Genomic DNA, 15,622 nt, shown 5'->3' with positions numbered 1-15,622 from the left:
AATTTTTTTTACATTTACTAATTCTTGTCGGTTTTTTCCATTTATATATATAATTTTTGTTTTTTTCTTTTCGTTTATATATATATATAATTTTTTAAAGCTGCATTTAGGCATGTACCACCATGCATATTCTTTTTAAAATGTTTTTCCATGCTGCTCCCCACCTCCCCCCACCACAATATATATAATCGACCATTCCTCTTTTGGTGGACATACAAATACTTTTCTAATTTTCACGTGTGTGTGATTCCGGATTGGGTATTCTGGGTATATTTTGAAGAGGGAGCTACTAGATTGAGATGTGGAGTGTGAGAGAAAGAAGAGTGGAGGATCATACTAAGGCTTCTATGTAGTCTTTCTGCCTTCAGTCTTGCCCCCCTTCATTCATCCATCATTTATGAAGGCCCTGGTAGCACAAAGGAGTAGTACCTCATCAGGATATAAATACAGGGAGTGGGATGTGAAATAGGTTGATGACACTTCTAAGAAAAGTATGCCATCTTTGATTAAGAATAACCATGGAGGAGTTTTTTAAACACATGCATTTCTTATGTGGATTATCTATTTTGATTCCTACAATGTTCCTGCCACCTGTTATAGTCATTTTACAGATGATGAGACAGAGTGCTATAAAGAGCCACTGACTACCCTAACTAATTAGTTGCAGAGTGCACCCAAATACTCAAGTTCTTGACTCCCAGAGTGTTGAACTTTCTGAGGCACCTTGCTGCCTTTCTATTCAGAGGGCAGGGTAGTAGATGACTAAATGGACAGAAAAGAGAGAGAGAAAGAGAAAGCAGAGCCTGAGTGTGGGAAAAAGCAAGGGCAGAGCACTGCTTTGCATGTCAGATATAAGTATATACATATATATACACACATATGTATTTCTCTTTCTCTCTGTGGCCTGTGGGTTGGATACCCTTATTATAAACCATTAAATAAAACAGAAAACCTTAATTGCATAAGATAGAACCAAATAAATGAACAAATTGAGTTTAATTAGTAGCAGGATATTTACATAGTTTCAAAGTACTTCCCCATAAGACACTTATTAATTACAAAGAGGGAAACAATGGGAAAGCTGGTCAACACAATCTTCATTTAGTGATCCACGTAACACCATTAGAAATGAAAACAACTGAAATATACACCCCCTGATAGGACACAATGAGAAGAATGCAACCTCCCATCTGTGATATTCCTGCCAAAGATGCTAACCTGAGTCTATATGTGAAGAAACTTCAAACCCAAATGGAGACATTGTCTACCAGATAACTGGCTAACAATCTTTTATAGTGTGGCAATCATGAAAGTCAAGAAAAAAACTGAAGAACCATCTCAGACTGACAAAGACTAGAGACATGACAACTAAATGCAATGTGTGATTGTGAAGAAAATTCTTTCGCTATGAAAGGCATCGTTGGGACAGTTGGCAAACATTGAACGGGGTCTGCAGATTAGATAATGAAATGTATTAATGTTCATTAAAAAAAATTTTTTTTTGAGATGGAGTCTCACTCTGTTGCCCAGGCTGGAGTGCAGTGGCATGATCTTGGCTCACCGCAGCCTCTACCTCCTGGGTTCAAGCAATTCTCTTGCCTCAGCCTCCCGGGTAGCTGGGATTATAGGCATGTCCCACCATGCCCAGCTACTTTTTGTATTTTTAGTAGAGATGGGGTTTCACTATGTTGGCCAGGCTTGTCTTGAACCCCTGACCTCAGGTGATCTGCCCACCTCGGCCTCCCAAAGTGCTAGGGTTACAAGTGTGAACCACTGTACCTGGCCCATTTTTCTAATTTTGATGGTTATATTGTGGCTCTGTAGGATAATGTCCTTGTTTGTTGAAAACACACCACAAGATATTTGGGGAAGACAGGGTGTCAGGTTGCTAACTTACTCTCAAATAATTGGAGGTCAGGGGAAGTCTTTGTTTCATGCTTCCAACTTTTCTGTAAGTTTGCGATTGTTTTTACAAAAAAGAGTACGCACAGCTTTAGAGTCAAGACGATTATGCTTTGATTCCCTACCCTACCAAAGCATGATCTTGGGCAAGTTTCCTTTTATGCTGCAGTGTCCTCATCTTAAAATGAGGACTAGCATATGCAGTAAGCCGAGATCACGCCACTGCACTCTAGCCTGGGCGGCAGAGCGAGACTCTGTCTCAAAAAAAAAAAAAAAAAAAAGAGGACAAGCATAATAGCAGGTGGCCCATGGATTGTGAGGATTGAATGAGTGGAAGTGTGTAGAGTTTAGATCCTCATCTAGCAAATGGTGAATACTCAGTACACTTAGCCACCGTTGGTCAAATACACTAGACCTTTTTGCAAAGTCATTAATAGAGCTTCCAAATTAGTCTATTATTTAATTATGTATCTATTTGAGACAGAACCTCACTGTGTCTCCCAGGCTGGAGTGTTGTGATGGAATCACGGTTCGCTGTAGTCTTGAACTCCTGGGCTCAAACGTTCCTCCTGCCTCACCATCCTGAGTAGCTGGGGATATAGGCAAGCACCACTACACTCAGCTAATTTTTAAATTTCTAGTAGAGACGGGATCTCAGTATGTTGCCCAGGCTGGTGTTAAACTCCTGGGTTCAAGCGATCCTCCCTCCTCGGGCTCCCAAAGTGCTGGGATTACGGGTGTGTGAGCCACTGCGTCCTACCATAGTCTCTAATTCAGAGCTCACATACTAAAGTGTATATGCAGCAAGCCAAAGTCACTTTTCAACTTCTATTTCTTCCCGGTTCCTTGATTCTAATCTTTCCTAATCTTTCCTGGACTTGAGCCTGAAGGCTGAGAAGAATGGAAAAGGATTGACTGTCTTCATTGGCAGCTTCAGAATTTGCTCATTTGAGGTATTCAGGCAGCCTTTGATACCTTAAACGGAAAGGTATGGGATCCAGACAGACTCTGAGAAGGGCTCTATGCGATGGGCTCTCAAACTCACTTAAATCCAGTGAGCAGATGAGCATATTCAAATGCTTTTCATTTCTATTTTACTAAGGTTGGTGAGTCTTTCATAGGTCTTGGTGGTTTTAGTGTTTTGTTGTTGTTTGTTTGTTTGTTTGTTTTTTAGACAGAGTCTCATGTTGGCCAGGCTGGTCTTGAACTCCTGACCTCAAGTGATCTGCCTACCTCATTCTCCCAAAGTGCTGGGATTACAGGCGTAAGCCATTGTGCCCGGCCCTTGGTGGTGGTTTTGTCTGTCATTTCCTGAATTTCCAACTGAACAAGACACCAAACATATTTTTTTCCTGGACACCTAGAAATAGGACTCCAAACCCTCAATAACAAGGAGCTTGCTTTATATTTGCTTCTTTTCCTCCCAAATTTTGACCTTGTTTCATGAACACCATTGAGAATGGAACATAAGCGTATGTGTGTTGACGAAGTTATATGCGATCCCTGTGATGTATTCATTTCCTCACCATAGCCAGTCAGCTTGTTCTTCTTCCTCTAATTCCCTGTGTCTTACCACACCCAGAACTCTGTGTTAGTTACAAAATGTCCAATTTTTTCCATATGGAGGCTCTACAGCACTCATATGTCTCAGGAATACCTGTCCATTTTCTTCCTATTTCCTCCCAAGTTATTTCACAACTTAAATGAATTGACTGGAGGATGCAACTGTTCAGTCTCTTGGTACTGTTCTCATAACGTAATCAGCTGGCATTTTGGTTTATATAACAGCTTTAGGAACTTGGTCATTGTGAACCTACTTCTTGAGAACTTGACCTAATCTGAGTGTACTGATCAATGAAAATGTTGAGCCTGGCCATGTGCAATGACTCACACCTGTAATCCCAGCATTTTGGGAGGCTGAGGAGGGTGAATCGCTTGAGACCAGGGGTTTGAGACCAGCTAGCCAACATGGTGAAACCCTGTCTCCACCAAAAAAAAAAAAAAAAATTGGCCTGGCATGGTGGCATACACCTGTAATCCCAGATACTCAGGAGGCTGAGGCACAAGAATTGCTTGAACCCAGGAGACAGAGGTTGCAGTGAGCTGAGATCGCCACTGCACTCCAGCCTGGGCAACCGAGCAAGGCTCTGTCTCAAACAAAACAAAACAAAACAAAACAAAACCAGTGTTGAGCCTGCAAGACTCTGGACTTTAATAAATTCGCCAAGATAATGTTAACAGTTGTCTACTTCTGGAGACGTATTTGAGTATTGCTGTATGAGGAACTGGCAAAATGGCTTTGATCTGCTATTGGAAAAACAAACTCATGACAGGACAGTATGATTAGATGTCTTTGGAAGGAATTATGGTAATGTGGAAAAGGGAACATTTATCATTGTTTGTTCAATGCTGTCCAAGGGATGGGATGACCCCAAAGTGGCAAACATGAAGACGGTCCATTTGACAAATTTAGTTCTTAGCAAGATAAAGGAGGACTCATGAAGCTTATTAATTATATTTGCTAAACACTTATTGAGTATCTACTATGTATAAGGCATGTGTTTCAAAATTATGGGGACACAAAGCCAAAGCCCCTTTTGAACTAGTTCTAAAACCTATTGATTCCCTTTTCTATGGTAATGTAGTTGTCATGCAACTTTCTTATATTAACCTAGCTTCTCTGTCTGGGAAAATAGTAAATGAATCGTGGTAACAGGTGGGGATCCCTTTGGCAATTCTAGGAATGTGCAGAATCACAAATTGGCATTCTGATCCCAACATGTGAGTTCCTGAAAGATGAGTAATTAATTGTGTGCTGAACTGATTGCTGAATTTTAGGAACTGCAGGGCTTCAAGACTAGATCTTGAGGCAGAGAACATACTTTATGGATGGATGATCTTTCCTGGGGTCTTAAATTTGCATAAGGAATCTTAGGACATTCCATTATCCACTGACCAGACTAGCATACCCAAATGCTGGTAAGACATCTGATGTCTGGGACTTTTGGATGGGATGATTTCAATAAGAGAGTAGCAAGGGACCCTCTTTGGCTAGAATCAAAAGGCAAATGACCTTTTTGTTTTGTTTTGTTTTATTTTTGGAGACAGAGTCTTGCTCTTGTCACCCAGGCTGAAGTGCAGTTGTGCAATCTCAGCTCACTGCAACCTTAGTTCACTGCAACCTCCACCTCCCGGGTTCAAGCAAGTCTCCTGCCTCAGCCTCCCAAGTAGCTGGACTATAGGTGTGCACCACCACACCTGGCTAATTTTTGTATTTTTGGTAGAAATGGGGTTTCACTATGTTGGCCAGGCTGGCTCAAACTCCTGACCTCAGGTGACCCACCCACCTCAGCCTCCCAAAGTGCTGAGATTACAGGCATGAGCCACTGTGCCCAGCTGCAAATGACCTTTTTAATCTTTTCTTTCTTTTTTTTTTTTTTTTTTTTTTTTTTTTGAGATGGAGTTTCGCTCTTATTGCCCAGGCTAGAGTGCAGTAGTGCAATCTCGTCTCACGGCAACCTCCACCCTCCAGCTTCAAATGATTCTCCTGCCTCAGCCTCCCAAGTCGCTGGGGTTACAGGCACCCACCACCATGCCCAACTAATTTTTTTCATATTTTTAGTAGAGACGGGGTTTCACCGTGTTGGTCAGGCTGGTCTCGAACTGCTGACCTCGTGATCCACCCACCTCGGCCTCCCAAAGTGCTGGGATTACAGGCGTGAGCCACCGTGCCTGGCTTAATCTTTTATTATTAAATAATAGATTAGTAGAAGAGAAATTGGAATATAGGCATAAGGGAGAGGGTAAACAAGATGATGGAGAGATATATGGATGGAAAGTATGGACAGATATACTACATTATTATTATTGTTATTATTATTATTATTGAGACGGAGTTTTGCTCGTTACCCAGGCTGGAGTGCAATGGCACGATCTCAGCTCACCACAACCTCTGCCTCCCGAGTTCAAGCGATTCTCCTGCCTCAGCCTCCCGAGTAGCTGGGATTACAGGCATGTGCCACGATGCAAGGCTAATTTTGTATTTTTAGTGGAGACAGTGTTTCTCCATGTTGGTCAGGCTGGTCCCGAACTCCTGACCTCAGGTGATCCACCCGCCTCGGCCTCCCAAAGTGCTGGGATTACAGGTGTGAGCCACTGCACCCAGTGGTATACTGCATTATTAAGAAGAGACAGGCCAGGTGCGGTAGATCACACCCATAATCCCAGCACTTGGGGAAGTCAAGGCAGGAAGATTACTTGAGGCCAAGAATTCTAGACCAGCCTGGGCTGTTAACAGAGTGAGACCCCATCTGTAAAAAATAAAAATAAAAATTAGTTAGGTGTGGTAGCATGTGCCTATAGTCCCAGCTACTCAGAAGACTGAAGGATTGCTTGAGCCCAGGAGTTGAAGGCTGCAGTGAGCTAAGATCATGCCACTCTACTTCAGCCTGGGCAACAGAGCAAGACTCCAACTCTTAAAAAAAATGAAGAAGAGACAAAAAGAGGTAGGCAAAGATAATGACAGATAGGGTAAAAACATGAATTGTTTGGGTCTTCATATGAAGTTAATAATACATGGCTTGATTTTATGGAATTATAGTAACATTATGTAAGATACTGCAAGTGGAGGTGCTTTGCTTAGAAAAGTACAGAATTCTGCAGAAATATAAGGCATATTAAATAACATGTGGGCAACAGAGACAGAGACAGTGAGACAGGTCTGTCACAGGTCAATAACCTCTGAGCCCTCAACAACATGTCTCCCCTGCTATCGGTAGTCCACAGTAGGATTTTTGGTAAATAAGTGTAGAACATTACGAATAACACTAACCATGTTCCCAACAGCTTAGGGCTGTCAGCTTAGGGCTGTCAGGAACATGCCTTGGTTTTACCGGAATTAGTATTCCTCATGTTCACCTGGCCAGAGAGAGTTAATGAGAAACGCATGTAGAGATGAAGACGCAATAAATAACGAAGGAGTGTTCTCTCAGCCAACTTCTCTTCCTTTCCCCAGCAACCTCCTCAGTGCGCCCTTCACTTCCATGTTCCGCAGCGTGTAGATGAGGGGATTCACCATGGGTGTGACCAACGAGTAGAACAGGGAAATGAACTTGCCCTGGTCCTGTTTGCTGTTCTTGGCCGGAAGCAGATACCCATAGCTGGCTGAGCCATAGAAGAGGAACACCACCAGCAGATGGGAGAGGCACGTATTGAACGCCTTTCGCCTCCCCTCTGCAGAGCGGATTTTCAGCACTGCCTGAGCAATGAGGCAGTAGGAGATCACGATGATGCTTAGTGGGACTGCAGTGAAGAAGGTGCAGACACCATTGAGCACAGCCTGGTTGAGACTTGTGTCGCCACAGGCCAGTTTGATCATGGCAGGCACCTCGCAGAGGAATCCCTCCACCCTCCGGTGCCCACACAATGGGAGCTGCAGAGTGAATGTTGACTGGATCACAGAGTTGCCCAAGCCACCCAGGCAGGCAATCACAGCCAGCAGCCAGCAGAGCTGGGGGTTCATGATGGCGGTGTAGCGGAGGGGCCGGCACACTGCCACGTAGCGGTCAAATGCCATCACCACCAGCAGGATGCACTCGGTGGCCCCCAGCCAAAGGAAGACATAGAGCTGGGTTATGCAGCCACCATAGCTGATGGTCTTGCCTGGTCCCCATAAATTGATCAGCATTTGGGGGACTGAACTAGTAGCGAAAGCAAGGTCCAAGGAGGAGAGGTTGCTGAGGAAGAAGTACATGGGTGTATGGAGCCGGGCCTCCAGGCGGGAAAGCAAGATGATGGTTGAGTTCCCAAGTAGGGTCAGCAAATAGGAGAAGAGGATGGCTATAAAAAAGATCATCTCCAGCTGGGGATGGTCTGATATGCCCATCAGAACAAAGCCCTGCAAGGAGCTATCATTCACCCCGTCCATCACTGGTTGTCTTCAGTCACTTGATGAATTCATTTAGCGCAAGCTGCTGGAAGAAAAGTCAAGAAAAAGCTGTTGGATGAGGTGGATTTGCATCAGGAACGGTCTAATAGTTCTCTGGGATCCATAGTTAAGTAACAACCTATTTTTTGTTTGTTTTTTGAGACAGAGTCTCTCACTGTCACCCAGGTTGGAGTGCAGTGGCACAATCTCAGCTCACTGCAACCTCCTTCTCCCTGGCTCAAGCAATCCTCTTGTCTCAGCCTCCCAAGTAACTGTGACCACAGGTGTGTGCCACCACATCCAAATAACTTTTGTATTTTTTGTAGAGATGGGGTTTTGCCATGTTGCCCAGGGTTGTCTCCAACTCTTGGGCTCAAGTGATCCATCTGCCTCAGCCTCCCAAAGTGCTGGGATTACAGGCATGAACCACTGCACCTGGACTCCAACTTACTTTTTAAGATTGCAAGCTTTTTTTTTTTTTTTGAGACAGAGTCTCGCTCTGTCACCCAGGCTGGAGTGCAGTGGTGCAATCTCGGCTCATTGCAACTTCCGCCTCCCAGGTGCAAGCAATTCTCCTGCCTCAGCCTCACGAGTAGCTGGGACTACAGGCATGCACCACCATGCCTGGCTAATTTTTGTTTTAGTAGAGACGGGGTTTCACCATGTTGGCCAGGCTGGTCTCGAACTCCTGACCTCGTGATATGCCAGCCTCAGCCTCTCAAAAAGCTGGGATTACAGGTGTGAGCCACCGTGCGTGGCCTAGATTTCAAACTTCTGTTGTAATCCCCATCTACTGTTGGTTACACACCGAATGGAAAAGTTGATTCCATCAGAATGTCAGGTATGAGCTAACACGGAAATGAAGGAAGTGCCTCATGATGACAAAACCAAAAGACCCCAAGAACTGAAGAGCCCTTCAGTTCAGAACAATGGCTATGACGGGATAGAGAGAGTTGACCATTAGAATTAGATGTGAAAGTTCTCAAAAACTTTCAGTCAGACTGAAATTTCAGTCAGGCATGGTGGCTCACACCTGTAATCCCAGCATTTTAAGAGGCTGAGGTGGGAGGATCTCTTGAGCCCCAGTGTTCAAGGCAGCAGTGAGCCCCTGTACTCCAATGCCTGAGTGACAGAGGGAGACCCTATCTCTTGAAAACAACAGCAACAACACATTTCCCCAGCCAAGATTCTGATACGCTCAGGGAAGGGGGGAAGCAGACACATTGTATTTGGAAAAGCTCCCCAGAATTTTCTGTTAAATTTCCTCTGCTCTCTTCTACATCCCTCCCCTCTGAGTTTTACCTCAGTGCTGGATCTAGAAAGATGATGTTTGAGGAATAACATGATGAATCTATAAAGTCACAGAAATAATGGAAAGAGTAGATACAGACTTATGCTCCAAATACAGAAGCTGGGAATGTACAATTTAAGAGGAGGTCAATGTAGAGCAAACAAAACTTCACTTAAGCTTAAATAAGTTTAGGTGGAAAAGGCAAAAGATATAAACAGAGGTTACACAAAAAGGGGTTAAAATAGTTAATGGGTATTCATAATTAGTAAGGGAAATTAGAAGATTTACAGAGGAGATCCCTCTTTTGAGGTATATAACTACTGTGTCCACGTCTAAATCATCAAATAATTCTTAACATCTCATGAGACCGGGTACAGTGGCTCACGCCTGTAATCCCAACACTTTGGGAGGTCAAAGTGGGCAGATCACTTGAGGCCAAGAGTTTGAGATCAGCCTGGCCAACATGGTGAAACCCCGTCTCTACTAATAATACAAAAAATTTGTCGGGCATGGTGGCGGGCGCCTGCAGCCCCAGCTACTCAGGAGGCTGAGGCAGCAGAAACACTTGAAACAGGGAGGCGGAAGTTGCAGTGAGTTGAGATTGCACTACTACACTTCAGCCTGGGCAACAGAGCTAGACTCTGTCTCAAAAAAAAAAAAAAAAAAGAAAAGAAAAGAAAAACAAACAAACAAACAAAAAACCCATCTCATGAACAAAAAAATCAGCTCTTGTTAATAATGGGCCAATCACCATCCCCTTTCCTTGGCCAGGATCTCAACTTTTCTGAAGATCATAAACCACAGCCCTTCCCCTTCCTTCCTTCCTTCCTTCCTTCTTTCTCTTTTTTTGAGATGGAGTCTAGCAGTGTCACCCAGGCTGGAGTGCAGTGGCGTGATCTCAGCTCACTGCAACCTCTGCCTCCCAGGTTCAAGCGATTCTCCTGCCTCAGCCAACCAAGTAGCTGGGATTACAGGAGTGCACCACCACGCCTGACTAATTTTTGTATTTTTAGTAGAGGCGGGGTTTCACCATGTTGGCCAGGCTGGTCTTGAACTCCTGGCCTCAGGTTATCTGCCTACCTTGGCCTCCCAAAGTGTTGGGATTACAAGCATGAGCTACCATTCCCGGCCTACTTATTCTTTTTTTTTTTTTTTTTTTTGAGACGGAGTCTCGCTCTGTCACCAGGCTGGAGTGCAGTGGCGGGATCTCGGCTCACTGCAACCTCCACCTCCTGAGTTCAAGCAATTCTCCTGCCTCAGCCTCTCAAGTAGCTGGGACTACAGGTGCACACCACCATCCCCAGCTCATTTTTGTGTTTTTAGTAGAGATGGGGTTTTGACCATGTTGGCCAGGATGGTTTCGATCTCTTGACCTCGTGATCTGCCCGCCTCAGCCTCCCAAAGTGCTGGGATTACAGGCGTGAGCCACCGCGACCGGCCTACTTATTCTTTTCATCTAGGACTTAAGAGAGCTGAGGAACTGAGTTACTAACCGGATAATCAGCTCATCTTTCTTTTCAGAAGTTCTTCCTGAAACCCATTCTACTACCTCCTGCCAGTTCAGGTGCTTGTTCCCTTGTGTCCCTTTAGGGCAAAGAAATAGACAGGGCCGGGCGCAGTGGCTGACGCCTGTAATCTCAACACTTTGGGAGGCCGAGGCAGGCAGATCACTTGAGGTCGGGAGTTCGAGACCATCCTGGCCAACATGGTGAAACATGTCTCTACTAAAAATAAAAAAAAATTATCCGGGCGTGGTGCTACATGTCTGTAATCCCAGCTACTCAGGAGGCTGAGGCAGGAGAATCACTTGAACCCAGGAGGCGGAGTTTGCAGTGAGCTGAGATAATGCCATTGCACTCCAGCCTGGGCAACAAGAGTGAAACTCTACCTCAGAAAAAAAAAAAAAAAAAAGAAAGAAAGAAACAGACAGAAAGACACTGCTCATCTTCTTCCAAAGTTGTTTGGTCTGTGGGGGGCTGGTATTAGACAAAGTGAACAGGGATTTTTCCCCTCCCCAAATCTTAGAATTCAAGAACTAGAAATGGGGGAGTTTGAATCTTAGAAAAAGTCAATTAAGGATGAATGAAAGAAAAAAATACATAGTTAATAGTAAATTTATGTAAATTATTACTTCTAAGAGACATCAGTAAGTTTAAAAACATTCAAACTCATAAGTTTAAAAACATTAAAATTTAAAAACATTAAAACATCATAAGTTTAAAAACATTAAAATTTGGCCAGGCATGGTGGCTCGCGCCTGTAATCCCAACACTTTGGGAGGCCGAGGCGGGTGGATCACGAGGTCAGGAAACCAAGACCATCCTGGCGAACAAAGTGAAACCCCGTCTCTACTAAAAATACAAAAATTAGGCGGGCGTGGTGGTGGGCGCCTGTAGTCCCAGCTACTCGGGAGGCTGAGGCAGGAGAATGGCTTGAACCTGGGAGGCGGAGCTTGCAGTGAGCCAAGATTGCACCACTGCACTCCAGCCTGGGCGACAGAGGGAGACTCTGTCTCAAAAAAAAATTAAAATTTAAATTTAACAAACACAGATACAATGCATGATTAAGGAAATCTAGGCCACTCGGAAGGGACTTTAACTTCTGATGCTTGCATCAGGGAAAACAATCAAGCTCCTTTAAAATGTATTTTCTAATTCTGCTGTCAAAGAAACAATTCTGGCTGAATGGACCATGGGCTGAGCCAAGGTGGCAGTTCTAATAAGCCCAGGATCTTACAAAATACGAAAAAAAAAAAAAAAAAAGACTAAATGCTTGGCAATACATCAAATAAGTACAAAAATTCAACAGCACAAATTTAGACTGGAAAAGGCTAGAGAAGCACAAGTATCCCAGGAGTAGCTCTCAAGGTTACATCTCTGCAAGCTGAAGGCAACTTGCAATGGGTGTCCCAGAGAGAAAAATGAACAAAAGGAGGTTCCATGTAAGGGCTGGGGAGTAAGCTTTCTGCTGTGTACTGTATTAGCAATTCCTTATCCGAGGGTCTTACCTGATTTGCCTAGCATTTTAAAAAGGATAATGGAGTACACAGATTTTTAGAGAACAGGGAGAAGGAGGACATAGGTCCTATGAAGTATGGCCAAGACGGGAGACTTGCTTAGGAGGAAATAGTTAAAGGGAGAAGTGGGTTTTTTACTTCCAATTATTTTTTTCTCAGACCATTCTCCATAACAAATTTTCTTCCAATTAATGTCTTCACTATTATGAGGAGATTTTAAAAATGTGTGCTTCATAAGCAGGTGCTCTCCTTCTCCTTCTCTATGGAAAGCAAAAAAAATAGGGAGGCTGAGGCAGGAGAATTGCTTGAACCTGGGAGGCAGAGGCCGTGGTAAGCCGAAATCATGCCACTGCACTCCAGCCTGGGCAACAGAGCAAAACTCTGTCTCAAAAAAAAAAAAAAAAAAAGAAAAAGAAAAAGAAAAAAAGAAAAAAGACTTAAATTCAGAGCAGGAGAAATTACGATAGGGCATTTTGAGGTGTTGGTGTGATAAAATATTGATTAAATTCTTTGGCAAGAGAAAAATAAGGTATGCTTAGAGATTTGCCTGCCTGAAGGCACTGAATATATCTTAAGTTCTTTTTTTTTTTTTTTTTTTTGAGTCAGGGTCTCACTGTGTCACCCAGGCTGGAGTGTGCAATGATAGCTCACTGCAGCCTCAACCTCCCAGGCTGAAGCAATCCTCCCGCCTCAGCCTCTCAAAGTGTTAGGTTCACAGGCATGAGCCACTGCACCCAGCCTATACCTGAAGTCTTTTATGATCCTTTTCTGCTTGAGGACTCTGTTCCCAGAACAGAGTTGTGCATGCAAAAGGGCTTTTGTTTGTTTGTATGTTAAGAATTTCCCAGCTTCTCTCCTGGACCATTCCAGAGATGACTTTTGTGAAGGGGTTCTTAAAATTGTTGTTTTAAAACTTCCCTTTGGGGCCGGGCACGTGGCTCAAGCCTGTAATCCCAGCACTTTGGGAGGCCGAGGCGGGAGGATCACAAGGTCAGGAGATCGAGACCATCCTGGCTAACACAGTGAAACCCCGTCTCCAGTAAAAATACAAAAAATTAGCCGGGCACGGAGGCAGGCGCCTGTAGTCCCAGCTACTCGGGAGGCTGAGGCAGGAGAATGGCGTGAACCCGGAAGGTGGAGCTTGCAGCAATCCAAGATCGCGCCACTGCACTCCAGCCTGGGCGACAGAGCAAGACTCCATCTCAAAAAAAAAACACAAAAAAAACAAAAAAACAAAAAAACCAACCAACCAACCAACCAAACAAAAAATTTCCCTTTGGGCTGGGCGCGGTGGCTCACGCCTGTAATCTCAGCACTTTGGGAGTCCGAGGCAGGTGGATCATCTGAGGTCAGGAGTTCGAGACCAGACTGGCCAACATGGGAAACCCCCTCTCTACTAAAAATACAAAAATTAGCCGGGCGTGGTGGCAGGCGCCTGTAATTCCAGCTGCTTGGGAGGTTGAGGCGGGAGAATCGCTTGAACCTGGAAGGCGGTGGTTGCAGTGAGCCGAGATCTTGCCATTGCACTCTAGCCTGGGCGACAGAGAGACTCCACCTCAAAAAAAAAAAAAAAAAAAAGATTCCCTTTTACAGTTTGAGTATTTTTCCTTCCTGACTCTTCTTGCTGACAGAGGTCACAGACCTCTGTATAAACGGGCTTGGGCTCTAATACCATGTCACCGCCAACCTTTCGCCTAAAGGAAGAAGCCATAAAACAGTGAATTTTTTTTTTGAGACGGAATCTCGCTTTGTTGCCCAGGCTGGAGTGCAGTGGCACGATCTTGGCTCACTGCAACCTCCGCCTCCTGGGTTCAAGCTATTCTCCTGCCTCTGCCTCCCTAGTAGCTGGGATTACAGGCATGTACCACCACGCCTGGCCCCCAAAATCAGTGCCTTTAAAAAGCTATTTAACACTCTCCCTTTTCTCTCTCCTTCTCTGTCTCTGCTATTTTCCTTTTCCCATCTTTTTTCCCCCCTGTTCGCCTCTCTCTCTTATATCCTGGATTCTTTAATAATCAGTCTAGGGATTGTTTATGGAAATGTACCTTTGGCTTTGAGATTCCCCCACATCCATCCTCTGTCTCCATGCTTAGTGAATCAAGGAGAGAGGGCAGGCATGGGACCGAGAGGGAGGCTGTGCTGCGCTCCTCCTGTCCGCGAACTGGGGCCACAGCTTTTAACCTCGGGGCTCTTCTGGCCCTGGAGTAGCACTGGGTCGCAGTTGGAAGCCTGGCTTGCTGTGGCTGGCTCTGCAGCGCCCAAGGGTAGATCTCCACGCCCGCACAAGCAATTAGCACAAAGCGCCAGTGTGGCCGGAACACAGGAAAAAGCTGTCCCTGAAGAACCGACTCAGTCTGTCACCTGAACTCCCTCCCCAAACACAGATTAGTAATCGAACTAGTAATAAAAATGACAGCATTTCTTAAATAATTGCTAATTATATGACTTTATTCTTTTCAAGGTGCTGTGACATTATCAAACTTAGTTCCTAAAACACTATACAACGTGGGGGAGGGGGGTGGTGGAAGGCAGGTGGCCTTATCTCCTCTTAGCAGAGGAGTAAATTGAACATATAGTGGTTACATGACAGGCTCAGGGTCACACAGGAGTGACCTGACTCCTGTGATGGCCATCCTATGCGGAGGAAGTTGCTATTTTTGACTCATAATCTGAGAGCTGTCATCCTTGAGTGTTTGTTCTTTTGAGGGGCAAGGGCAGAGAGGGGGAGTCCCAGTTCTCTGGTTCCAACATAAACCACAAATCAGGGACATGAGCCTTAGACACTCACAGGGCACCCTGTGAGAAGCAAGAACTTACAGCCACTATTCAATAAACACGTAACAGGTGCCTGGTAACCTGATTAGGCCGTTAGATGTCACAGAAGATGAATTACCCTGAAACTACTGACTTAGAAACCACATTCATTCAAGACACTCTAAGGGTGGAGAGTATGCCAGGTGCAGGTGGGGTACAGGGTGAGCAGGATCAGTCTGGCTTCTGCCCAGTGGGGCCCACTGTCCTGTGGGCCTGGCCCCAGCAAGTCTCTCCTGATCATAGAACTGCTTGCTGGCTTGTGCTGTGTGCTGGTCACTGTGCCCAGCGGTTTATAAACATGATCACAACCATCACACCAGGCAGGGGTTATTATTCCTGTTTTACAATAGAGGAACTCAGGCTGAGAGGTATTCAGTAATTTCTCCAAGGGCAAATGGCTAGTAAACTGCACAGCCACTGAAATGAGGTCTAACTCCCAAATCCATACTTACGAGGAACTGGATAATCTCATTGTCTATCAGTAGGGGAATTCGGTAAATTATGACCCCTCCATGGAATGCTGTGCTCACTGTCATCATTGGTCTCTGCAAGTCCTCTCTTAAATACTATATTTTATTCACTTTTTCCACTTTATTCCCACTCGCCATTCTCATTCCTCTGCACTGTCCCATAGGCATCTAACGCATTTGGTCTATTAGTGTTTGGACAGATA

At 44.7% G+C, this 15,622-nt stretch overlaps 1 protein-coding gene across 2 annotated transcripts in view; it reads right to left on the bottom strand.

Moving 5' to 3' along the window:
• Positions 1 to 5,631: 5,631 nt before the first annotated feature.
• OR2C1 (olfactory receptor family 2 subfamily C member 1) overlaps positions 5,632 to 15,622 on the bottom strand; it is a 35,207-nt gene continuing 25,216 nt past the window's right edge. Inside the window, exon 2 of one of the 2 annotated variants that reach the window (XM_047434179.1) lies at positions 5,632 to 7,871. In XM_047434179.1, coding sequence (XP_047290135.1) covers positions 6,890 to 7,828 — 939 coding nt within the window. In that variant the 5' untranslated portion in view covers positions 7,829 to 7,871 and the 3' untranslated portion in view covers positions 5,632 to 6,889. Of the gene's footprint in view, positions 7,881 to 15,622 lie in introns of those variants that run through there. The other variant, NM_012368.3, reaches the window with a different exon arrangement.

Source organism: Homo sapiens, chromosome 16 (genome assembly GCF_000001405.40).
Source record: "Homo sapiens chromosome 16, GRCh38.p14 Primary Assembly".
Classification (NCBI taxonomy): Eukaryota; Metazoa; Chordata; class Mammalia; order Primates; family Hominidae; genus Homo; species Homo sapiens.
Note: the sequence above shows the minus strand (reverse complement) of the source record. Positions and strands in the feature narration are given on the sequence as shown.